This window comes from Homo sapiens, chromosome 13 (assembly GCF_000001405.40).
Source record: "Homo sapiens chromosome 13, GRCh38.p14 Primary Assembly".
Lineage (NCBI taxonomy): Eukaryota > Metazoa > Chordata > Mammalia > Primates > Hominidae > Homo > Homo sapiens.
The window spans coordinates 66,251,372-66,278,883 of record NC_000013.11 but is presented as its reverse complement, the minus strand read 5'-3'; the positions used below and the strand labels follow the sequence as shown (position 1 = coordinate 66,278,883).

Genomic DNA, 27,512 nt, shown 5'->3' with positions numbered 1-27,512 from the left:
TTACTGAGGCTGAACCGGGTCAATAAATTTTGAACTCCTTGTTGCACAATGGAATCAAGCCATGATTCTATAACATATTAATTCAATTAAGTTGGAGTACTTAAAAATATGGTTCAATGAGTGATATGGTTTGGCTGTGTTCCCACCTGAATCTCACCTTGAATTCCCACATGTTGTGGGAGAAACCTGGTGGGAGGTAATTGAATTATGGGGACAAGTTTTTCCCGTGCTATTCTCATGATAGTGAATAAGTCTCAAGAGAGCTGATGGTTTTAAAAAGAGGAGTTCCCCTGCATAAGCTCTCTTTTCTCTAGTCTACTGTCATGTGAGATATGCCTTTCACCTTCTGCCATGATCATGAGGCCTTCCCAGCCATGTGGAACTGTAAATCCAATAAACCTCTTTCTTTTGTAAATTACCCAGTCTCAGGTATGTCTTTATCAGCAGTATGAAAATGGACTACTACAATAAGAAAAACTTTTCTTTGATTTTGGTATGTGTACTACTTCTTTTTCACACTTCTGATAAAGATATACCTGAGGCTGGGAAGAAAAAGAGGTTTAATGGACTTACATTTCCACGTGGATGGGGAGGTCTCACAGTCATGGCAGACAGTAAGGAGGAGCAAGTCACGTCTTACATGGATGGTGGCAGGCAAATAAGAGAGCTTGTGCAGGGAAATTCCCCCTTATAAAACCATCAGATCTTGTGAGATTCACCTACCATCACAAGAACAGCATGATAATGACCTGCTTTCATAATTCAATTACCTCCCACCAGGTCCCTCTCACAATAGGTGGAAATTCAAGATGAGATTTGGGTGGGGACATAGCCGAACCATATCATTTCACCCCTGGCCCCTCCAAATCTCATGTCCTCACATTTCAAAACCAATCATGCCTTCTCAACAGTATCCCAAAGTCTTAACTCATTTCAGCATTAACTCAGAAGTCCACAGTTCAAAGTCTCATCTAACACAAGGCAAGACCCTTTTGCCTATGAGCCTGTAAAATCAAAAGCAAGTTAGTTATTTCTTAGATACAATGGGGGTACAGGCATTGGGTAAATACAGCCATTCCAAATGGGAGAAATTGGCAAAAACAAAGAGGCTACAGACTCCACAGATGTCTGAAATCCAACAGGGCAATTAAATCTTAAAGCTCCAAAATGATCTCCTTTGGGTCCATGTCTCCATCCAGGTCACTCTGATACAAGAGGTGGTGTCCCATGGTTTTGGGCAGCTTCACCCCTGTGGCTTTGCAGGTCGCAACCTCCATCCCAGCTGCCTTCACAGGCTGGTTTTGAGAGTTCACAACTTTTCCAGGTGCATGGTGCAAGCTGCCAGTGGATCTACAACTCTGAGGTCTTGAGGACGAGGATGGTGGCCCTCTTCTTACAGCTCCACTAGGCAGTGCTCCAGTAGGGAGTCTGTGTGGGGACTCTGACCCTACATTTCTGTTCCACACTTCAACAGCAGAGGTTATCCCTGAGGGCTCCACTCCTGCAGCAAAATTCTGCCTGGGCACCCAGGCATTTCCATACATTTTCTGAAATCTAAGGGGAGGTTCCCAAACCTCGATTCTTGACTTCTGTGCACCCACAGCCTCAACATCACATGGCTACCAAGGCTTGGGGCTTGCACCCTCCAAAGGCACAGCCTGAGTTCCATGTTGGCTCCTCTCAGCCCCAGCTGGAATGGCTACAATCCACAACACCAAATCCCTAAGCTGCACACAGCACAGGGACCCTGGGCCCAGCCCATGAAACCACTTTTTCTTCCAATACCTCAGGGCTTGTGATGAGAGGGGCTGCTGCAAGGGTCTCTGACATGCCCTGGAGACATTTTCCCCACTGTCTTGGGGATTAACATTTGACTCCTCATTACTTATGCAAATTTCTGCAGCTGGCTTGAATTTCTCCTCAGAAAATGGGATTTTCTTTTCTATTGCATTGTCAGGCTGAAATTTTCCTGAACTTTTATGCTCTGCTTCTCTTATAAAACTGAATGCCTTTAACAGCACCCAAGTCACCTCTTGAATGCTTTGCTGCTTAGAAATTTCTTCTGCCAGATACCCTAAATCATATCTCTCAAGTTCAAAGTTCCATAAATCTCTAGGCCAGGGGGAAAATGCCACCAGTCTCTTTGCTAAAACATAGCAACAGTCACCTTTACTGCAGTTCCCAACAAGTTCCTCACTTCCATCTGTGACCACTTCAGCCTGGATTTTATTGTCGATATCACTATCAGCATTTTGTTCAAAGCTATTCAACAAGTCTCTAGGAAGTTCCAAACATTATCACATTTTCCTGTCTTCTTCTGAGTCCTCCAAACTGTTCCAACATCTGCCTGTTACCCAGATCCAAAGTTGCTTTCACATTTTCAGGAATTTTTTCAACAATGCCCCACTCTGCTAGTACTAATTTAAGTATTAGTCCATTTTCATATTGCTGATAAAGACACACCCGAGACTAGGAAGAGAAAGAGGTTTAATGGACTTACACTTCTGTGTGTCTGGGCAGGCCTCAGAATCATAGCAGAAGGCAAGGAGGAACAAGTCCTGTCTTACATGGATGGCAGCAGGTTAAAAGAGTGAGAGAGCTTGTGCAGGGAAACTCCCCCATATAAAACCATCAGCTCTCACGAGTCTCACCCACCATTATGAGAACAGCATGAGAAAAAACTGCTCCCATGATTCAATTACCTCCTACCAGGTTCCTCCCACAACATGTAAGAATTCAAGATGAGACTTTGGTGGAGATGCGGCCAAACCATATCATTATATGTGTCTAATGTATGGTATTTCTAATAAATTTATGTATTCCCATGACTCTGATTCACTTTGAATTAAAATTAACTTATGATTTCTACTTTTGTTTTTAATGTGATTTAAAAGCTGATTATATTTGATAAGTCTCTTTACTTTTAAAATATTTTTATCAGACATTCCTGGATTTTTGTACAAAAGCTTTTCTCCAACTTTTTCCTTATTGCTATCACACTGCTTTTGTTCAGGGATGGAACAGGTATTCTTTAATCTCTCTGAAGGTGAGACATGTCTTTTATATAGGAGCGTGTATGTAACAAAGTTCTAGCCAAAGACATAGAAAGGAAAGTCTTCTAGGGACTTCTGGGACTACTTTCTGTTTTTACCAATATCTTGATTGTATGCAGCTGTCTGGTTTTGATGAGAAAAAGGCCCAGGGAATCATCAAGGTACTAATCCAAATCCCTGAGCATAATAAGCTTATGTAGCATTCCAGCAATCACTAAACTTAAGACTTCCTAATAAGTGAACAATCAACATCTTATGGTTATTCCACCATGACATAGTCTTTGACTAATCATGCAAAGCAACTATCATGGACAAACAGGCATAGCCTCAATTCTGACAGTTGGTACAGTTTTAAACAAACAAGCAAAATCAATGGGATATAATGAAATAGGTGATTTTCCAACCCAAAAAGAGACTAGGAAAAATGAATATGCCATATGGGTGCAATGAAAATTAGGTGTCTTTATCATGACATCTCACTTTCATACTGTGATGTTCCTAGCCTAGGGCAATTTCACTTGCTGTCAAGTGAGAGATTGGGAAGACAGTATGATCTGGCTAAAAGAAAATAGAATGAAAGCTGAGACATCAGAAATGTGGTTTTGGTTCTATTCTGATTTTTTTGATAGTAACTAACAGCCTTTATGCAACATTACAAATCCAAGATGGTTAATGTATCTTAGCAAAAACAATAGACATACTTTTGAAGTACATTAAAATGAACTACATATTTAGATTAGTAATTATTTGTACAGATGAATTATAAATGCTACTATCACAATACACATTTATCTCACCTTAAAAATCATTTTCTTTTGAATTGTGAACCACATTAAATTTTATCCTTTAGCATGTAGAAAATAGAAAAAGCTGAACAGAAAAACCTGTACAAAAAGGCAAACAATAGTCAATTTTATAATACAGAATCCTTATTTTTAAAAAGAAGCAATAGTATTGATACAGAATGTCTTTTGCTTTCCATGTGGACATTAACCAACTGTAACCCTGTGACCAAAGAGATAATACTAGGCCATGAATAAAATGGGGCTATTTACCTTCACCTGTGAGGCCTATAAACTTTCTTTTACTTTCTCATTTAAAAAAAAAACAAACATTTTTTTTTCTTTTATCCTCTATGCCATGTGTACTACTTGGTAAATAATAGCTGCCTAATAAATATTTGCTGATATATCAACAGGTTTCCAACCTCATTAAGATAAAAATCCTAATGAAAACAATTACAGTTTTTAATCTATCAAATTAGCAGTTTCTAAGGAAAGTAATGAATACTGAAGAAGATACAATAAAATTAGTCATTTTTATTCAATGCTGGAGGGAGAATAAATTGATACAAGCATATAGTAGTTAGGCACGTTTCCTCTTTTGTAAAATAAAAACAAAATTGATTCCTAGATTAGATGAAATAATGTATAAAAGCATCCAGCACAATAGCTTGGCAAATGGTGAAAGTTAAATTCTGATAATTTACAATGAAAAGATAGGGAAGCATTAATTGGACAGATTTTTACACTTCTTTAAAATAATGGGTCTCCCTCTCAACCATAAACTTGGGTACCATATTTTTTTTTGTTTACTGTCGTACTCCAATACAATGTACAGTGCCCACCATATTATCATTCAGAAAATCTTTGTTAAATTTATAGAGTTTATTTAGCTTCCCTAATTATAAAAGAGAAACTTTTTATGCAAGCCTGAATAGATATCAGTGGGGAAAATAATACAACTTACATTCAGTGAATAAGCATATATAAGAGGTAGTGTGACAGTATAAAAACACAGGCTCTGAATTCCAAAGAAATGCATTCAAACTCTAACTTGCTGTTCACTATTCATAAGTTATTCAACCTTTTGGAACTTTCAATTATGTGCCTCCATACTGGAGATTATCAAAGACATCTCTCTTATGGTGTTTCTGTTACACTAAGTAAGAAAATATGCATTTAAGGCATTGTACACTACATAATCAAAGTGACACAGTGGATTAGAACTCAGATCTTTAACTATTTCACCTGAATCCAAAATTTCAGATTTGAAATATACCATAGAGAAGCTCTTTACAAGACCCTTTCCTGATCTCAAGACCCTTATCTGATCTCCAGACAAGACGCTTACCTGATCTCAAAGTTGGTAAGATTGTGAGATTCCCGTCACAGTCTGTGCTCTGTTCACTTCAGCACAATCTCTCCTTTTGTTTCTCCTTTCCTTCAATGATTACAATGCCTGAAACATTCCATGTTGCCTGTTTTCCATAGGAACCCTGTGGTTTATGTTAAGGGAGCATCTTAGTCTGTTTAGTGCAGCTGTCACATAATATTTGAGACTGGGCAATTTACAATAAACAGAAATTTATTTCTCGTGGTTCTGGAGGCTGAGAAGTCCAAGGTTGAGGGTCTAGCATCCGGTGAGAGCTTCTTGCTGTGTCCTCCCATGGTGCAAGGCAGAAAGGCAAGAGAGTGCAAGCTCCTGAAAGAGAGAGGTGGGAGAAGGGGGCTGAACTTATGCTTTTATTAGGAGCCCACTCCTGTGAGAACTAACCTTCTGCTGCAATAAAGGCATTCATCCATTCATGAGGGTGGAGCTCTCATGATCTAATCACCTCTTACAGGTCCCACCTCTCCACACTTTTGCTTTGAGTATTAAGTTTCCAACCCATAAACTTTGGGGGACACATTCAAACCACAGCAGGATGTGAATTAAGAAAACAAAACAAAACAAGACAAAACAGATCAGAGAGTGTGTGTCTGGTTCAGAGTTTGGTTGGCACTGTGAGTGTTGAAAAGCTCCCTCTTCTCAATATAGCAAACAGCCAGGAACTGTAAATTTGATTTCTGTCTACTCTCTTAGCAGGGAAAAAAGCTATTTCTGCTTAGGAAAGCTTTTGTGTAGTTGTGTTTGTGAAGTTAAAGTTCAAAAGAAATAGAGAAGAAGCAAATATAGAAGACAACTTTTTTGTTTTTTGCATGTTTTTCTGATATATTTTTTCCTCAAAGTTCCTATATATCAGAACCTAAATGAATAAGTTCAATTTTAAGGCTTATTAATAGATGATATTATCATTAATATAGTTTTTAGTGTTTCTGTAAGAGTGTTTATAAATGTACCAAAGTGTGATTAATGCTCTTATGGGTCTTGTATTTAGCTAGAAACTCTTTCTTCTTAATGAGACAATGCTCAAACAGACTGGCTCATTAATCTTGCAATTTCATTGGGAAGTCAGGATGTAAAGATTTAAAAATTAAGCAAATAATAACAATAATAGCAAATCAATTTATATGTGCCAGACACTGTATTAAGTGGCTTATATCTACTAATTTATTGACATCTCACAACAACCTTTTGAAGTGGGACTATTTTCCCACTTTATAGATAAGAAAACTGAGGTTGAGACAATTTAAGTAATTTGTCTAATGTCATACAGCCATCAGGTTTTGAGTTCAACAGTCTGGCTCAAGAAAATCACACCACTTACTAAATGTTAGCTAGTGATAATATTTAAACTAGAAATAAAGCTTACTTTTCATCCAGTTGTTTTCTCTATCTATATTGCAAGTAAACATCAAGTGAGTTTTCCAAGTTACTTTTTTTTTTTTTTTGAGACATCTTGCTCTTGTTCTCCAGGCTTGAGTGTAATGGTGCCATCTTGGCTCACTGCAACCTCTGCCTCCCAGGTTCAAAGGAGTCTCTTACCTCAGCCTCCCGAGTAGCTGGGATTACAGGCACCCACTACCATACCAGGCTAATTTTTTGTATTTTTAGTAGAGATGGGGTTTCATCATGTTGGGCACACTGGTCTGAAACTCCTGACCTCAGGTGATCCACCGGCCTCGGCCTCCCAAAGTGCTAGGATTACAGACGTGAGCCACAGCGCCTGGCCCCAAGTTATGTTTTCTCAGGAAGGAACCGAGACCCCAAATGAGTAAACTATGTGCAGTGATACTTTCATTCCATCAGAGAGAGAAAGACGCCAGAATTGTCCATCTCTCTTCTCATATTCCCATCGCTTTTGTGATTTCATCCAGTTCTGTGGGCTGCATTGTTAACTGTGAGTCAAGTCTTCTTGATTCTATGTCTCTTTGGAGTTTTTAATATTCCTTATTTTCTTACAATTTTCTATAAATAGAGTCATTTGATTTCAGTATTGTTCTGATTGTTTATAGAGTTTAGTTTGGCTGTAGATTACGACAATATCTTTTGTATAAAAGTATAATTTTATTAAACCGAAGGTGGGTTTTGTTCCCTTGATAACTTTTTGACATTGAGACTGCCAAGAAAGATGGATTTGTATTTTAAATGCTTTGAAGTTGAGACAATTTAAATAAGAGAAATTTCAAATGTCTCACTGAGACACAGCAAATTCCTCATTGCCTGAAGCAGATAAAGAAAAAGCTGACTTATCTGAGTTCCACTTTTGAAGCTGTTTCAAAATTGTAATGATGGTGTGTTTGTGTGTGTTAGAAGTTTTAAAGTTTAGTAAAATTATAAAGTAAAAATCAATAATATGAATGCTTTTGATAATATCACATTTTCATTGAGTTTTAATTTTCTGAACATTATAAGTTGGAGCTTTAGAAGGTAAGGCTTGAAAGAATATTAGTTTGGCAAAATCACCTCTAGAGGCGCACACATGTAAAAAACACTTTTTTTCATATTTCTGCCTCAATGTTTTATGTAAGTGAAATCAGATAAAAAGCATGTTTCATAGGACAGTTGAATAAAGAAAAATATCCTAAGATGTAGCCTGAAAACGAATATATGGAAAAAAATACGTTCACAGCTTCCCCACTTCCATTTCTAGGCCAGTTAATATCTACTTTGACCTCACCACACAATAAAAAGTACATATTATATTGCGATTCACCATACATGTCCAATTGCACAATTGAAATGAGTCTCATGAAATATTAAATGTGGTACACTCTATTTATGACTCTTTCTGTGTATTATTTTTATATATTATATATGCAATATTTTATTGTCTTTAAAACTGAATACTGGTTATTACATCCAATTGAACTTTACGATCTACTATTTAAGTTTTTGAAGTTTTGTTTTTGTGTTTGTTAAATGCACACAAAATATATTTATTGCCACTGATAAATTACTTTTTCTTACACTCTAATCTTAAAATTCCAGAAATATTGTAGTTAATTCCCACATCTCTATAAGTTCCCACAACAACTCTTTCCCGTTTTTTTTTTCATTTCATTTCAATAGCAACACCTCTGTTGAAGTGCTATGTCTAAAAGCTGTAGAAGTATTTTTTATAAGGTTGCTAGTTGCACTGATAGTTGTATAATATTCCATAGTTGTATAATATTCTACCAACTGTCCATAAATCACATAAAAATGAAACGTCACAGTTGACCCTTCACAGCCTGTTACTGCACAGATTGTAATAGATTTTGATTCCAATTTAGAAATAAGGCTTTATGTACTTAAAGACATAGATATGTGAAAGAATAGATGTGAGTTCTGTCATTCAAGTAGTAAAAGGATAGCTCAGCCAACTCACAGTCCGGATATATCCCAATTCCTCTTGGCTTCTCCTTTAGCAGAAGAGTGACTGGAACAGGGCCTCAGGCCCCATAGTCACCACTTTGCTTCTGAATTATTCAGTGTCTGTTCTGCCCTGACAGGGACTGCTTTCCCTTCCTGGACAGGGAATTCTTACAAAGCCCCAGGATCCATTTGGGCTTGACATCCAGTAATATTTGCTTGACTCAAATCCTTCAGAACCCAGAACTAACATGAAATTAGCAACATTAACTTTTTACCTTTTGTTCACAAAAGTAGCAGATTTTTTATTTTCAGATACAAGCAGGTTACTATGTGCTGTTTCAGATTCCAGAGTTACATCTTCTTTACATTTCCAGGTTGTTTTTTTGTTTTTGTTGTCGTTTTGTGTGTGTGTGTTTTGTTTTGTTGTTTGTTTGTTTGTTTGTTTGTTGCAGAGCTACAAACTGTGGAGGAGGAGAGCATCCTTCTTTCCTTAACTGGAATGAACAGACGGCTAAGGTTTCCAGGCTTTCACACTTGTGTTAAATAATTTTGCTGTCCACCAGAGATTTTACTTCTGGCATCACAAGCTTCTCTGCCACCTCCTTTTGTAGACCGTAGAGTGTGGAAATGTGGACTGAAAATGCTGCTGTGTTTGCATGGAGTTTCTGTTCGATATCTTTTCCTTCCTCTGCCAGCCTTGAAAGCACTGCCCCTTGCTCACATTCTAGAAACTCCTTTCAGGTGCTTAAATTCAGAGGATAATTTCCACCTTTGATTTTTCCATTTTCCTTCTCAGTTCTAATGTTTTTTTCTGTCTCGGTTTCTGTCTTGGTTGGCTATGAGTTTTTGTACCTCTATCATTTGTGATGAGAAACAGCCTTCTCTATGGGCCTCTGGTAGCCCCGGTAGTCAGGGGGCTGAGAGAACAGGGTACATAGCACTTATAGATTCTTCTTGCAGGAAAGGGTCAAAATCTGGTTGTACTTGCTCAAACATGTTTGTTCCTGCCTTATCCTCTTGCTCTTGGTGATGTAGAATAGCTTGGAAATTTCTATCATCTTTCCCAGATGGGTAGTGCTCCTGAAATGCCCCTTTGGGCATTGATGAAGACAGGGCAAAAGAAACCATCATTTAGATCTGCTTAGAGGTGTTGGATGCAGAAATAACAGAAATTCTGTCCATATTTGATGGTGACAGGGTATCTCAAGTAATCCAGACAAACTGAGCAGTTAGCTTCTGCTTGAAGTCCTGCCAAGGCTGCTGCAACCACCATTGGACCTGTGAATGAAGGTCTGGAGTGAGGTGAATTTTCTTCAGAGGGTTGGGTTCTGCAGGAATTCTGTAGGTTTTGCAGATACATCCAGCTCCTTCCTGTTCCAAATGTCTCTTCATAAATTACAGATGGTCCTTGATGTTCTGGAAGGCCATGGTTCCTCAGTTGCAGAGGTAGGTGCCCAGAGGAGCTCTACTTACAACCTGGAGCCAATTGCAGATTAGTTGGGCAACTGGCCGTCTTTGGTAGCTCAGAGGATATGAAGCCAAAATCAGCGATTCTCTTGGTGAAAAAGCAGACAGGATTCTAAAGTGCCAATTTGTTCTTGGATCAGGTAGCTATGGGCAGTCTTCTGCAGAGGGTCTCAGGGAGGGATTTCTGAAGCCAGTCTTGCTGCAGATCTTGTGGTTAGTGATGTAAATATGGCATACATATACAACACTAGGATGGTGGACCTATTAGGATCCCCCCTATAAGAGATTGGTGGCCCCTCCCTCCAGAAGAATGGTTAGTACTATGCTGTGGATGAGTGAATATTCAGAGGTCCTGGTTAGTGAGGAAGGGATCTCTTGTGATTAAATCAGGCCAGGTGGGCCAGGCACTGTAATAATACACATGATATCATTTGTGTCTTCATAAACCTCTTTCCAGCCCCTCAACAAGCTTTAATCCCAGGAAACTGAAGCTCTGAAAGCCTCAATGAAGCTTATGTTCCAACCCAGATACATGCAACTCTGGAGACCGCCAATTTGATTTGAAGATGGGTCTTCCTATTTTTCTGTATGCCTAATCTATGCCATTGCTAGCCATTTTTTTTTTTTTTGCAGCTGCAAGAAAGCCATCAGTGAAATTTTAAGCGATTCAAAAGTTGTATTCTCAGATGATTAATCTTATAAAACATGTAGTTTCAGTATACTTAAAAGTTATAAATTTCGTCATGGGCCTGGTTTGAATGAATACAAGTTTATAATACCCTCCTTTTTCAAATATTTTTCATATGCATTTAATGCGAATGTGGGCCAGGTGCAGTGGCTTATGTCTGTAATCCCAGGACTTTGGGAGGCTGAGGCAGGAGAATCTTTTGAGCCCAGGGGTTTGAAATCAGCCTGAGCAACATATTGAGACCCTATCTCTACAAAAAAAATTTTAAATAGCTGGAAATGGTGGCACACGCCTACAGTCCAAGCTACTCAGGAGGCTGAGGTGGGAGGATCACTTGAACCCAGAAGGTCGAGCCATGTATATGCACTGAGTCATGATCATGCCACTACACTGCAGCCTGGGTGACAGACCCTGTCTCAAGTAACAAAAGTAGTAATGTAAAGTAAGAAAAGAAGTAAATGTGTTTTGAAAATGTTTAGCAATTCACTGATTCAGGACTTCTTCCTTGACAAACATGACTATTTTCAGTTTGTTAAGCTGGGTTTGCTGAAGACTAATACATTTGATTTTTCTGAAAATATACATGTTCAAGGCTTGTCTATGAATGTACCACTTGATTACATTTATTAAGAGATGGAATTCAACTATTTGTTATGTCTCATCCTTCTCTTATTTTCTAAAAAATCACTTCACTTGTAGGGATCAAATCTAATCTTAAATTAGTGAAGTTAACTAAAGCATAGACATTGAAAAGTTTCAGAACAGCTACAAATGCGCAGATTTGTTAACTGCAATTTGATGCAGTCTGATGCCCACCTGAATTCTCTAGCATCTTAGCCCCATTTTTGTACTCCTTCACACACACACACACACACACACACACACACACACACCTTTTCCAAGATGCTATTGTGGCCCGTAGTCTGTTTAGTTTAACTATGTTTGTTGTTCATATTTATGGTTTTTGGCATTTTCATCTGACTGCATTCTCCTATACCTGTTACATTTAAACATGTAGCTCTAGATTAGAGTTTTGGTTCCCGGTTCCCCACCACTGGACAGAGTCATTGGACAGTGCCTGGTTGCGTTGCGAGGTTTGCTGCTTGCTTCAGCCATCTCTTTGGTATCTATGTGTACTCTCTCCTACCTTTGTAACATCTACAGTGCAAGTATCAACCTGACTTATGCTCCGTCTCCTCCTCTCCCGTATGACTTCTTCCATTTGCAGTTCCTCTGTATTAGTCATCCACAACCATCTTATTCTCTAGCAATTGGCCATAAAGAAAATTTCTGAAAAATAAGTCACAATATTCCTTTAAGTTATATTTAAGATGAATAGGTATGTTCCTTTAGAGAGAAGTTAGAAGTTAAACTGAAAAAGTTTATTATCTTCTCTCAAAAGCTGTATTATCAGATGATCTATCTTATAAAACACATAGAAATTCGGTATACCTAAAAATTATAAATTTTGTCATGGATCTGGTTTTAATTAATGCATGGTTACTATGCCCTCCTTTTTCAAATATTTTTCATATGTATTTGAAGGGAATATGGGCCAGGTACTGAAATTATATGCTGAAAATTATAGTATACAATTATTTTGCCTATTCAGCTAGTTTTGTAAATGTATACTTTGATGTCCCTGATGCTTCAAACCTTGTCCTCTTGGAATGACATTTTTGGTGTTTTAGATGATACTGTCAAATTTTGCCTTGAGGCAATGCATTCTAACACAGATTTTTATTGGAACTGAGCAAGCCTCTTAATTTCAAATATTCAATTAATATATAATAAAGTAGTGCCAAATTTTATCAGTTCCAGAGTGCTACTTATATAGAGAGGTTATTGAATGTAAGTAGTATATGTATGCTGAGAATTTCCAACGTATACTAACTTTCTTCACTACTAGATTCCTTGCACCCCACACAAGGCCTGCATTTAGAAGATTCTTAATATATTTGTAAAATTAAGTAAATAAACTAATGCTCGTGTCCTCAATTCTAATATCAATAATAAAATTGACTTAAATAATATTTATTTGTCAGTGTTGGTAGTGGAATTTGTAATTTTCTTTTGCGCAATAAATGATCATGCTCTCAAGAAAAGAAAACAACAAGAAAAGAAAAAAAGAAAGAATTCAGTAGAATAATGCAATATGTGGTAAGTAATGTTAAAGCCTCCTTGGTGGTTCCAGTTTATTTTCCCTTAGAGTTTTTAAGTATTACAAAAGATACTGACATTAATTGTTCCAAAACAAAGCTTCATTTTTCTTCCAGATATGCGGAATGCTTCCATGAACACAAATTGGACCACTTCAAAAATATTTATGTTAATCAGTAACCGCTTTGGAGTGCGTTCATCCCTGTTAGCCTTTTTGATTAAGGAGTGTGTTAGGGGAGAATGAGCTTGCATGCTCCATCTCAACCCTTTCTCTCCACATTACTTTGAAACAGTTCCTTTGAAATACTATTAGTGCTACACTCTATCTATGTCTTGTGAATTGGGCTATTTTACGAACCTCTCTGCTCCCCCAACTCCCTTTGAGGACAGGATGGATTCAACTGCTCTTGGCTCAGTCTCCCTTCTTCCATCAGGAGTCACTGTGGTGGAGTAACAACCACAGTGTCAGAGTTCACACAGAGAAAAACAGTTCATAAGAGTATGAAACAACGAGCTAATGGTTCTAAGGACAGGCTACGTGTTTCCATGTAAATTTCCCTCCAGCTCTCCTGAGTGACTTTGAACAGGTTCTCCCTCAAACACTCTGCCATACAACCAGACGCTAGGTCAGGTAGCATCTCTGCAGGTTAAAGAAAACAAATTCTTTGGAAATAGCAGTGGGGTTGAATGTATGTTTCAGTGTCAGCCTGCAAGTGGCCTGAGCATGCCCGCATGACAGCGTCTCACGGCAACGCTTCTGAGGAAAGGAAATTGTAAGGCTGTTCCCACTGACAGTCACGCAGAGAGACTCTGCTGGCAAACTTCTGGACTAACTCCAGTCATTACACATTTGGAAAGGGTTTCACACAAAGGTATTTTGTGCATGAATGGTCTAGAGGAATAGGTTTCTGGACCAACTGGTGTGTAGCTAATTTTAAAAAGTCAGTTTACCATAACAATTATTTTATGGGCTGTAGAGCAGATCTCATTAAAGAAAGAAGGGAATCATAAATTAGAAGAGAAGCAAACACATTAATATGCCTAATGCTGCTTCTCTTAACATGAACATTACAAATAGGATTAAGCATAGAGCTTTTTCTTATCTTTCCTTCTGCTTTATTTAAAAAATAAAAATTAATGTTTAGTGAAGATTTTCAGATATGAGGTCTCTCAAATTCCTCGTTCTGTTTCTCATGAATATTTCCAGAATGCCTACTAGTTTGTTAAAAAAACCGCTTCAAAGTCGTCCTAATGCTTTTACTAGTTTACTTAATTTTCATAGACTCTTTTGTTTTATAGAAATATTTTGAAATTTGTATGTATTAAGGTTTTGTTTCTCCAGGTGGCTACCCACTTTCCTCTAAAATCTGTTTTGAAATTAGAATGAGATGCTTAAGGCTGTTCTTGACAGCTATTAGAGAAAATAAAATATGTATGCCCCATCACATCATTTGATGAAAAAAAGCTCAATATTTTCAGTTTCATTTAATTGATTTATTTTAGAATACAGGCTTTCATGAGGAGTGAGGTGGTTCAAACATTTGTTCCTTTACTTTTTATTTATCACTCCTCTCACATACTTTCTCCAAACACTAATATATATTTTCAGGCCAGGTGCGGCGGCTCAGCACTTTGGGAGGCTGAGGTGGGAGAATTGCTTGAGGCCAGGAGTTTGATATCAGACTGGCCAACATAGCAGGACCCCATCTCTGCCCAAAACTACCACAATTAGCTGAGTGTGGTGGCATGCACCTACAGTTCCAGCTTCTCAGGAGGAGGCTGAGATGGGAAGGTCACTTGATCCCAGGAGTAGTTAGTTCCAGGCTGAAGTGAGCTATGATTGTGCCACTGCACTCCAGCCTGGATGACAGCAAGACTCTGTCTCTCTCTGTCTCTCTCTGTCTCTCTCTCTCTCTCTATACACACACACACACACACACACACACACATATATAATGTGATTTTTTTAAGGAAAGTATTTTATGTATCTATGTAATATGTGCAAGGTACTGAACAACTGTAAGATACATTCCCCAAGTTTTAGGGATAGTTTTAAAGTTCTCAATTCTCTTATAAATCTTGTCGTTCAATTCCCTTTTTATTCTTTCATTAATCCCAAAATATTAACTGAATATCTACTACATCTTAAGCAGTGATGGATTCAGATTTGTAGAAGCCTGAGCTGATATAATTTTGGAGTCTGTTTTTAATAAAATATTATAGAAGGACATATTTTATGAAATGATGGATGTTTATCAGAAGCATTTGAACTACGAACACATTGCTTGGGGCCCCTCCCAAGGCCTTGGAAGGGATCTGTGTAAAGAAGAGACCCTGAAGCTTAGAGATTTCATTTTCTTCATGGGAAATCTGCCTGCAATTTCAAGCACTATGGCTAGTACTGGAGGTATAGAGATAAAGATAACATGATTAGCATTACATTCATGAAGCTTATGGTTTAGAATGAAATATTTAATCAAAACTCATATCCAACAACATTTCTGTCCCTATTCTACTCTGGGTGATCTTTTGACTTATGAAGCTCCTCCCACTTGATCTCCTTTCCTGTTCTACACACTGGGGGTTCTGATACCCAACTCACTGCATTCAAATTCCCTTCTTTTTTGACCACATCAAGTATTATTCTTAGAACTTTCTGCATGATCTATTTCTGAAATGGAAGTCTAATCTTACTCCACCGATACAAAGAAGTATTCCGGTTCCTGAGTAAAGGGTGGTCTCTCATGTCCTGAGGTTTCGCAAATGTGTTTCTCTATCTGGATACTATGTTTTCCGTATTTCCCCCCAGCAGAGTTCTAGCAATGCTTCCAAGCTTGGTTCCAACATCAAAAACTCTGAACATGACTTTGAAGGTAGACCTACCTGAATTCAATTCTTAACTTAGGCACACTACTTAACATCTATAAATCATGTATTTCTATAAAATGAATATAATCATGCTTCTTAAGTATTTTTTGACCTAGAGAAGTAACAGTTAAGGTAATGGATATGTAACCCACAATGTCACTATATAGTTTACATTTAGCCTTGTGTCAAGTTGCATCATAAGAAAGCTTCTTTCGCTCTTCCCCTTAGTATATTATTCATAACAGTCCATGTAGATAAACAACTGGCTTATGAATGCTAAATCACTAAGCACATTCTAAAAGTAAAAATGTAAGATATTTATTTTGCAACTCAATATTCATAAAGTAGGTTCCATATGACAAATTCATTTTGAAATATAGGGACTTAAAATTTTGTATGCCTTAAAAATTAGTATATTTTCCACCATTACATAAAATCACTTATGAAACCGTGGGGGTATAAAAAAGTTCAGGATTTAGAGCTAAAATTTGTGTATAATAATGATAACTATATTCCCTTCACAGACACCTTTTAATTTTTTTTACATTGCTTTGATTTTTGCTATGTATTTTAATAACCCTTTATTTCAATACTCAGCATTTTTAGAAATAGGGAGATATTCACAGGGAAATAAAAAGGAAATATCTAATTCTATTTTGAAAGTACAGTGCATACCTTCAAGCAATTTGTTATTCAAAACTTTCAAAAATCAACTTAGATTAAAATGAGTAGAATGAAAACACTGAACTTGATAATGACATTTCAAAAACTAAGGGATAGCTTTGATGAAATAATCTATTATTTAAAATTCCGATAGTGACAAAACGTGCACCATGTTTAAAATATAATTTCAAATAAATTTTATTTGGGCCTCAAAACACCTCTGTGAAGTAATAACAAAACTTTACCCAAATACTCACCTTCATAGTTTTCATCAGAAACTTTAAAATCCCAAGATATTGTATGATGTGACCACTGCTCATTTGAGGAAACATAAAGTACTAGTTAATCTGTTGGTTATTGGATTGGCTTGAATGTCCTACTTTGTAATTTACCTGCTTAAGAGCTTTTGAAAAGTTGCTTAAACTCTGGGTGTCTGAGCTTCTCCATCTGTAAAATGGAGATAATATATCACCTACTGAACAGTACTCCTCCAATAATTGAATAAGATGATCCAGGTAAAAAGAGAACTTACAAAAGTGTCTGACATTTAATATCTGTTCAATGCTATTAATGATTTTTATTATTGGTTCTGAAATTAAAAATTGCCTTCGATTTCCAATGTCTGCCAAGGGTATCTCAAGGGAAAAGGAAGTTACTGCATATTCTCTAGAATAATGCTGGAAAGAGACAGACTTGTTGGCAGAAGTGACATCACTGTAAAATCATATAGAAAGTATTACAAAACATTTGCTTTGGAAAGAACAAGTCAGTTATGTCATTAGAAAATCTTCACAAATTTATGTTTAAAGACTTTCTAAGAAATGTCCATTTTTTTTTTCAAGAGTTCAGGAAAGCCAACAATGTGCTGTGAATATCTAGAATCCAATCTTTGTTTTTTTTTTTTTTTCTGTAGTATTTTTAGTTTAAGGTGTCTTGAATGTAAAACAAAATCCAAGACTGGATCCTAGGAGTAAGTGGTAAGAGAGGGTATAATTAAGCAAAAATATATGAGATTCGTGAAAACTCTGGGATAACAGAGAAAAAATATTATAGGGAAAACCTGACCCTTGAAAGACTTATATCAATCCAAATATATTGTTTATAGAAATGAATCTCTGGAATGGTCCAGTGACTGATTGTCTGACATTCCAAGTAGGAGAGGTAATATAATATGACTTATGGAGTTGTCAAGGAAGAAGATAACTTAACATTGATTTGTTATTTTTGCCAAGAAGGTATAATTGTAATACAGGATCATATTTTAAATAGTAGAAGTCAAAATGAAAATAGTTGAATTGGAAGTTTAAGCTATTCTGAACTAACATAATATATAATTAAGCCCCAAAATTGAAGTTTGCAATGTAAATTTTTAAACTTTCAAATTTTGAGACTGTAATGTCATACTTTATGTAACAGTAATTATGCTGAAATTTAAAACAAAAACCATTTACTTGATCCTCTATTCAGTCCTTCATTCCCAGCATTACTACAACCCAATCCTCTACTGGGAGGCTTCCTAGTGAAGCAGGAAGACCTGACCCACAGCCTAAAAGCGTGAGTTTGAATCTGTTTTCAAACGGACAGGAGACAGAGAAATACTGGGCAGAAGAGGGCGATTCCCCAGTAAAAGCCCCACCCAGCCCTAAATGAGAACAGGTACTCCTGCTTTCACGCCCTAAAGTTGCCTTTTGGCCTGCTATGCGCCCCCTTATCCTGTACCCGTATAAATCCCAAGCCCCTGGCTAGATGAGAAGATGAACAGAAGAGCAGAAGAACAGCAGAAAGGCATGGTAGAGAAAAGGGAAGGAACGTCTGAACGCTGAGAGGCGTTCGGCTGGGGGCAGAGAGGAGATCCGCAGCCGGACAGTCAAACTCTAGGGTAAGATCATCTTCCCACTCCATCGTTTTCCAGTTCCCCATCCATCCTGCTGAACGCCACCTCCACCACACCACAAAACCCCTGCATTCGTCCTTTAAGTCCATGTGTGACCTGATTTTTCCCGGACACCGGACAAGAGCTCAGGATAAAGAAAGTTGTCACTCTGGCCATCTGTCCTTGCAAAAAGGCAGAGGGTCCACTGAGCTGTTTAACACTTAAGTGGTCTGTGAACAGCAAGGCTAAAAGAGCATACGTTAACACATGCCTATTTGGGCTTCAGGAGTTGCAGACACCCATCCCTGGACACTGTCATGGGGTCAGAGCCCAGGGGCACTTGCCTGGGCTCCTGCACCTGCCTGTCTGTGTTCCCCCTCCCATAAGGGGTTTGAGCTTGCAAAGTGGCAGAACACATGAGCCACACCCATGTAGCACATCCTGTGAGGGGGGTCAGGGAACTCTCCCGTTTCATCTTTAAATAATGTCCCCTTGGACAAATTACTGTCATCTATCAGAGCTTCTGTTTACCAATTTGTATAATGTGGATTATGATCCATGTACCCACACACCTGATATATTGGAGCATTGTATAGAGTGAGAGCTCGATGGATGTTTTAGAGATGTATTACACAGCTGAGCCATTTTTGTGCCATGGAAAGAGGAAGACTGTAGAGTCCATTAATCCTTATTTTGCTCTGCACCATCTCTGTGGCCTTGGGAAAATTAATGAGTTACCCTAAACTTCAGGCTCCTCATTTATAAAAATGGAGTTATTCATACTTACATAGAAAAAGTATCGAGGGGAGGAGCCAAGATGGCTGAATAGGAACAGCTCCGGTCTACAGCTCCCAGCCTGAGCGACGCAGAAGACGGGTGATTTCTGCATTTCCATCTGAGGTACTGGGTTCATCTCACTAGGGAGTGCCAGACAGTGGATGCAGGTCAGCGGGTGTGCGCACCGTGCGCCAGCCGAAGCAGGGCGAGGCATTGCCTCACTCGGGAAGTGCAAGGGGTCAGGGAGTTCCCTTTCCTAGTCAAAGAAAGGGGTGACAGACGGCACCTGGAAAATCGGGTCACTCTCACCTGAAGACTGCGCTTTTCCAATGGGCTTAAAAAATGGTGCACCAGGAGATTATATCCCGCACCTGGCTCGGAGGGTCCTAAGCCCATGGAGTCTCATTGATTGCTAGCACAGCAGTCTGAGATCAAACTGCAAGGCAGCAGCGAGGCTGGGGGAGGGGCGCCCACCATTGCCCAGGCTTGCTTAGGTAAACAAAGCAGCTGGGAAGCTGGAACTGGGTGGAGCCCACCACAGCTCAAGGAGGCCTGCCTGCCTCTGTAGCCTCCACCTCTGGGGGCAGGGCACAGACAAACAAAAAGACAGCAGTAACCTCTGCAGACTTAAATGTCCGTGTCTGACAGCTTTGAAGAAAGCAGTGGTTCTCCCAGCACGCAGCTGGAGATCTGAGAACGGCCAGACTGCCTCAAGTGGGTCCCTGACCCCTGACCCCCGAGCAGCCTAACTGGGAGGCACCCCCCCAGCAGGGGCAGACTGACACCTCACAGGGCCAGGTACTCCAACAGACCTGCAGCTGAGGGTCCTGTCTGTTAGAAGGAAAACTAACAAACAGAAAGGACATCCACACCAAAAACCCATCTGTACATAACCATCATCAAAGACCAAAAGTAGATAAAACCACAAAGATGGGGAAAAAACAGAGCAGAAAAACTGGAAACTCTAAAAAGCAGAGCGCCTCTCCTCCTCCAAAGGAACGCAGTTCCTCACAAGCAACGGAACAAAGCTGGATGGAGAATGACTTTGACAGGCTGAGAGAAGAAGGCTTCAGACGATCAAATTACTCCGAGCTACAGGAGGAAATTCAAACCAAAGGCAAAGAAGTTGAAAACTTTGAAAAAAATGTAGAAGAATGTATAACTAGAATAACCAATACAGAGAAGTGCTTAAAGGAGCTGATGGAGCTGAAAACCAAGGCTCAAGAACTATGTGAAGAATGCAGAAGCCTCAGGAGCTGATGCGATCAACTGGAAGAAAGGGTATCAGTGATGGAAGATGAAATGAATGAAATGAAGTGAGAAGGGAAGTTTAGAGAAAAAAGAATGAAAAGAAACGAACAAAACCTCCAAGAAATATGGGACTATGGGAAAAGACCAAATCTACGTCTGATTGGTTTACCTGAAAGTGACGGGGAGAATGGAACCAAGTTGGAAAACACTCTCCGGGATATTATCCAGGAGAACTTCCCCAATCTAGCAAGGCAGGCCAACATTCAGATTCAGGAAATACAGAGAATGCCACAAAGATACTCCTTGAGAAGAGCAACTCCAAGACACATAATTGTCAGATTCACCAAAGTTGAAATGAAGGAAAAAATGTTAAAGGCAGCCAGAGAGAAAGGTTGGGTTACCCTCAAAGGGAAGCCCATCAGACTAACAGCGGATCTCTTGGCAGAAACTGTACAAGACAGAAGAGAGTGGGGGCCAATATTCAACATTCTTAAAGAAAAGAATTTTCAACCCAGAATTTCATATCCAGCCAAACTAAGCTTCATAAGTGAAGGAGAAATAAAATACTTTACAGACAAGCAAATGCTGAGAGATTTTGTCACCACCAGGTCTGCCCTAAAAGAGCTCCTGAAGGAAGCGCTAAACATGGAAAGGAACAACCAGTACCAGCCACTGCAAAATCATGCCAAAATGTAAAGACCATCGAGACTAGGAAGAAACTGCATCAACTAACGAGCAAAATAACCAGCTAACTTCATAATGACAGGATGAAATTTACACATAACAATATTAACTTTAAATGTAAATGGACTAAATGCTCCAATTAAAAGACACAGACTAGCAAATTGGATAAGGAGTCAAGACCCATCAGTGTGCTGTATTCGGGAAACCCATCTCACATGCAGAGACACACATAGGCTCAAAATAAAAGGATGGAGGAAGATCTACCAAGCAAATGGAAAACAAAAAAAGGCAGGGGTTGCAATCCTAGTCTCTGATAAAGTAGACTTTAAACCAACAAAGATCAAAAGAGACAAAGAAGGCCATTACATAATGGTAAAGGGATCAATTCAACAAGAAGAGCTAACTATCCTAAATATATATGCACCCAATACAGGAGCACCCAGATTCATAAAGCAAGTCCTGAGTGACCTACAAAGAGACTTAGACTCCCACACATTAATAATAAGAGACTTTAACACCCCACTATCAACATTAGACAGATCAACGAGACAGAAAGTCAACAAGGATACCCAGGAATTGAACTCAGCTCTGCACGAAGCGGACCTAATAGACATCTACAGAACTCTCCACCCCAAATCAACAGAATATACATTTTTTCAGCACCACACCACACCTATTCCAAAATAGACCACATAGTTGGAAGTAAAGCACTCCTCAGCAAATATAGAAGAACAGAAATTATAACAAACTGTCTCTCAGACCACAGTGCAATCAAACTAGAACTCAGGATTAAGAATCTCACTCAAAATCACTCACTACATGGAAACTGATAAACCTGCTCCTGAATGACTACTGGGTACATAATGAAATGAAGGCAGAAATAAAGATGTTCTCTGAAACCAACGAGAACAAAGACACAACATACCAGAATCTCTGGGACGCATTCAAAGCAGTGTGTAGAGGGAAATTTATAGCACTAAATGCCCACAAGAGAAAGCAGGAAAGATGCAAAATTGACACCCTAACATCACAATTAAAAGAACTAGAAAAGCAAGAGCAAACACATTCAAAAGCTAGCAGAAGGCAAGAAATAACTAAAATCAGAGCAGAACTGAAGGAAATAGAGACACAAAAAACCCTTCAAAAAATTAATGAATCCAGGAGCTGGTTTTTTGAAAGGATCACCAAAATTGATAGGCTGCTAGCAAGACTAATAAAGAAAAAAAGAGAGAAGAATCAAATAGACACAATAAAAAATGATAAAGGGGATATCACCACCGATCCCACAGAAATACAAACTACCATCAGAGAATACTACAAACACCTCTATGCAAATAAACTAGAAAATCTAGAAGAAATGGATAAATTCCTCGACACATGCACTCTGCCAAGACTAAAGCAGGAAGAAGTTGTATCTCTGAATAGACCAATAATAGGAGCCAAAATTGTGGCAATAATCAATAGCTTACCAACCAAAAAGCACCCAGGACCAGATGGATTCACAGCCGAATTCTACCAGAGGTACAAGGAGGAACTGGGACCATTCCTTCTGAAACTATTCTAATCAATAGAAAAAAAGGGAATCCTCCCTAACTCATTTTATGAGGCCAGCATCATCCTGATACCAAAGCCTGGCAGAGACACAACCAAAAAAGAGAATTTTAGACCAATATCCTTGATGAACATTGATGCAAAAATCCTCAATAAAATACTGGCAAACTGAATCCAGCAGCACATCAAAAAGCTTATCCACCATGATCAAGTGGGCTTCATCCCTGGGATGCAAGGCTGGTTCAATATACACAAATCAATAAATGTAATCCAGCATATAAACAGAACCAAAGGCAAAAACCACATGATTATCTCAATAGATGCAGAAAAGACCTTTGACAAAATTCAACAACCCTTCATGCTAAAAACTCTCAATAAATTAGGTATTGATGGGACATATCTCAAAATAATAAGAGCTATCTATGACAAACCCACAGACAATATCATACTGAATGGGCAAAAACTGGAAGCGTTCCCTTTGAAAACTGGCACAAGACAGTGATGCCCTTTCTCACCACTCCTAATCAACATAGTGTTGGAAGTTCTGGCCAGGGCAATTAGGCAGGAGAAGGAAATAAAGGGTATTCAATTAGGAAAAGAGGAAGTCAAATTGTCCCTGTTTGTAGACGACATGATTGTATATCTAGAAAACCCCACTGTCTCAGCCCAAAATCTCCTTAAGCTGATAAGCAACTTCAGCAAAGTCTCAGGATACAAAATCCATGTACAAAAATCACAAGCATTCTTACACACCAACAACAGACAAACAGAGAGCCAAATCATGAGTGAACTCCCATTCACAATTGCTTCAAAGAGAATAAAATACCTAGGAATCCAACTTACAAGGGATGTGAGGACCTCTTCAAGGAGAACTACAAACCACTGCTCAAGGAAATAAAAGAGGATACAAACAAATGGAAGAACATTCCATGCTCATAGGTAGGAAGAATCAATATCGTGAAAATGGCCATACTGCCCAAGGTAATTTACAGATTCAATGCCATCCCCATCAAGCTACCAATGACTTTCTTCACAGAATTGGAAAAAACTACTTTAAAGTTTATATGGAACCAAAAAAGAGCCCGCATTGCCAAGTCAATCCTAAGCCAAAAGAACAAAGCTGGAGGCATCACACTACCTGACTTCAAACTATACTACAAGGCTACAGTAACCAAAACAGCATGGTACTGGTACCAAAACAGAGATGTAGATCAATGGAACAGAACAGAGCCCTCAGAAATAACACCGCATATCCACAACTATCTGATCTTTGACAAACCTGAGAAAAACAAGCAATGGGGAAAGGATTCCCTATTTAATAAATGGTGCTGGGAAAACTGGCTAGCCACATGTAGAAAGCTGAAACTGGATCCCTTCCTTACACCTTATACAAAAATCAATTCAAGATGGATTAAAGACTTAAATGTTAGACCTAAAACCATAAAAACCCTAGAAGAAAACCTAGGCATTACCATTCAGGACATAGGCATGGGCAAGGACTTCATGTCTAAAACACCAAAAGCAATGGCAACAAAATTCAAAATTGACAAATGGGATCTAATTAAACTAAAGAGCTTCTGCACAACAAAAGAAACTACCATCAGAGTGAACAGGCAACCTACAAAATGGGAGAAAATTTTTGCAACCTAGTCATCTGACAAAGGGCTAATATCCAGAATCTACAATGAACTCAAACAAATTTACAAGAAAAAAACAAACAACCCCATCAAAAAGTGGGCGAAGGACAGGAACAGACACTTCTCAAAAGAAGACATTTATGCAGCCAAAAAACACATGAAAAAATGCTCACCATCACTGGCCATCAGAGAAATGCAAATGAAAACCACAATGAGATACCATCTCACACCAGTTAGAATGGCAATCATTAAAAAGTCAGGAAACAACAGGTGCTGGAAAGGATGTGGAGAAATGGGAACACTTTTACACTGTTGGTGGGCCTGTAAACTAGTTCAAGCATTGTGGAAGTCAGTGTGGCGATTCCTCAGGGATCTAGAACTAGAAATGCCATTTGACCCAGCCATCCCATTACTGGATATATACCCAAAGGACTATAAATCATGCTTCTATAAAGACACATGCACACATATGTTTATTGCGGCACTATTCACAATAGCAAAGACTTGGAACCAACTCAATGTCCAACAATGATAGACTGGATTAAGAAAATGTGGCACATATACACCATGGAATACTATGCAGCCATAAAAAATGATGAGTTCATGTCCTTTGTAGGGACATGGATGAAATTGGAAATCATCATTCTCAGTAAACTATCGCAAGAACAAAAAACCAAACACCACATATTCTCACTCATAGGTGGGAACTGAGCAATGAGAACACATGGACACAGGAAGGGGAACATCACACTCTGGGGACTGCTGTGGGGTGGGGAGAGGGGGGAGGGATAGCATTGGGAGACATACCTAATGCTAGATGACAAGTTAGTGGGTGCAGCGCACCAGCATGGCACATGTATACATATGTAACTAACCTGCACATTGTGCACATGTACCCTAAAACTTAAAGTATAATAATAATAAATAAAATAAAATAAAATGTTTAACACTGCCCTCCCCCAAAAAAAAAGAGAAAGAAAAAGTATCATGGCTATTAAACAAGATAATGTGTGTAAACTGCCTAACACAGCTCTTTACATAGAGTGGGCTCTCAACAGATGGTAACTATTATTGTTATTAAATTATATAGTAGAAACTCATCAACAAGCTTGCTCATGCATGGCTTTAAAAGTGAATTTAAATAAATATTTAAGCATTTAGTTTCTGTTTTAAAAAATTATAGGTATGCATGAAATTTTATGTACCAGAGTGTAAAATTCCAGTAGTGTTATCGGGGTGTGTTTTTCCTGTTTTAGAACAGCATTTTTTCCTTCCACGGAAGAGAAGGGGAGATTTGTTGCCATGTTCCTATCATGGGGTCTCTGTTAGCCTGGATAAAGGATAAACAAATGTTTGTGGTACTCTGAGTGGTAATAGTAACAACAATGATAATAATTTTAAAATAATAAAGCCCCAATATTATAGAGGTGCTATTTCAAGCATTTTATATGCATTATCCAGTTTAATCTTCTTAACAACCTGAGACTAGCAACTCTTCTTATCCCCATTTTAAAGATGAAAAGTTTAAGGAAAAAGAAGTTAAAGTACTTGCCTAAGGTCACACTGTAAGGTAGTTATATGACCCTAGTGTCATATGACTGGTAGAAATCTAAGAAAAAGATTGAAAAAGAAATATAGAATAGGGGTCTTATAAACATCATTTTTTTTTGCTGACTTTTGAAACTCTGTGTTTTTGTTTGGTTTTATATTAACCACTATCACCATTGCCACCTACTCATCTTCAATTCTCTTTTCTTCAGAGTCCACCTGGGTTTTGGTCCGCATGATTCCACTGAAAAAGTATTAATTATCATACACTGAGTTCCTGAAATTGGCAAGCCCAGTGGCCAGGTCTCAATGTGCCTGTCAAGTCTTAGCACACTAGCCAAGTGGCTGCCTTCCTCCTGCTTGAACACTTGCTACTCTTAATTGTCTTTCTCACTGGCCATTTACCCATCTCCTTTGCTGGTTCTTCCACCTCTTTTGACCCCTGAAATTTATACGATTTCCAAACTTGCTCATCCTCTATACTATGCTCATATAAGGTCAATAACAAGATATTAACTATTCCTTCTACAATAATAATTCTTAAACATAAGTCTCATGATAAAGTTCTTACCTGCCCTGCAGCACACCAACACTTTTATCCTCAGTGCTCTGTATTTCAGATTACGACAATGCTGTCTACCCACTTGTTTAGATTAAAATCCTAGGAGTCATGCTTAATTCTGTGCTTTTCCTCACATGCACCTTCATGTCCAGTCACAACTATATTTAAATTGTAATTTACAGTCAATCATTTCTTAGTATCTCCAATGCTATACCCGAGTGCAATGACCTATTCACTGATTTCCCTGCTTCTTCTCTTTCCCTTCACAGTACATCTCCACATTACAGCCAGAATAATAAACTTTTTAAAGCAGTTATCAGATCACATCACAATAGAACAAATGTAAAACCCCTTACCTGGTTTGTAAGTAAGAAAACCATCTGCCTCAGATTGCCTAGGATGGACCTCATTTACTGCGATTGTCCTAAATTGTTCTAGCCTTTTAATCTGAATCCTTTTTTATGTCTTGTTGACAGTGTCCTTTTCACTCTAAAAATGTGTCAGGGGGTGTGGTCAAGCTAAGATGCACACTAATGATAAAATGAGCCTGCTCTTTACTATATGCTTTTATAGATGAATAGATAAATACTGCCTGAGATGTTTATAACACGGCTATAATGAAGCCCTGCCATAATAATTGAACTGGCAGTTTGGCCTAAGCTTGCAACTATTCATTAGAGATGAGGGCCTCTGAGCTGATTAAGAAGAGATTTCAGGGAAATCTCTAAGTGATTCTTACCGAGTTTCAAAAAGGAGATGAAAAGCGTAAAATGGGTGTGGTAGGCAAAATAATGGCTCCACAAAGATATTCTCTTCCTAATCCCTGGGATTTAGGAATGTTTCATAGGTGTGATTAAGCTAAGGACCTCGAGATGTGAAAATGACTATTAGATTTCCCCATTTAATCACATTCAAGTGGTTCAAATCTAATCACATGGGCCCTTAAAAAGAAGAGACATTTTCCCAGCTATAGTCTAAGTAAGAGGGAGATGGTATTATAGAAAAGTGATCAGAAAGCAGCAATGTTGTTGGCTTTGAGGATCTAGAAAGGTGCCCATAAGCCAAGAAATATGCATGCATGGCCTCTAGACACTGGAAAAGCAAGGAAACATATTCTCCCCTAGAACCTACAAAAAAGAACACATTTCTGATAACACTCTGACTTTAGCCCAGGAAGATCCATGTCGGACTTCTACAGAACTGTCAAATC

The 27,512-nt window shown here is 38.5% G+C and overlaps 1 long non-coding RNA gene and 1 pseudogene across 1 annotated transcript in view; both read right to left on the bottom strand.

Annotated features, from left to right (window-relative positions):
* Positions 1 to 26,746, bottom strand: part of LOC124903179 (uncharacterized) — a 41,261-nt gene extending 14,515 nt beyond the window's left edge. The window contains exons 1-2 of the long non-coding RNA XR_007063815.1: positions 26,659 to 26,746; positions 5,187 to 5,537 (exon numbers count right to left, since the gene is read on the bottom strand). This is a non-coding gene — a long non-coding RNA (uncharacterized LOC124903179). The remainder of the gene's footprint in view (positions 1 to 5,186; positions 5,538 to 26,658) is intronic.
* Positions 8,472 to 9,837, bottom strand: TRIM60P19 (tripartite motif containing 60 pseudogene 19; annotated as a pseudogene).
* Positions 26,747 to 27,512: the final 766 nt, after the last annotated feature.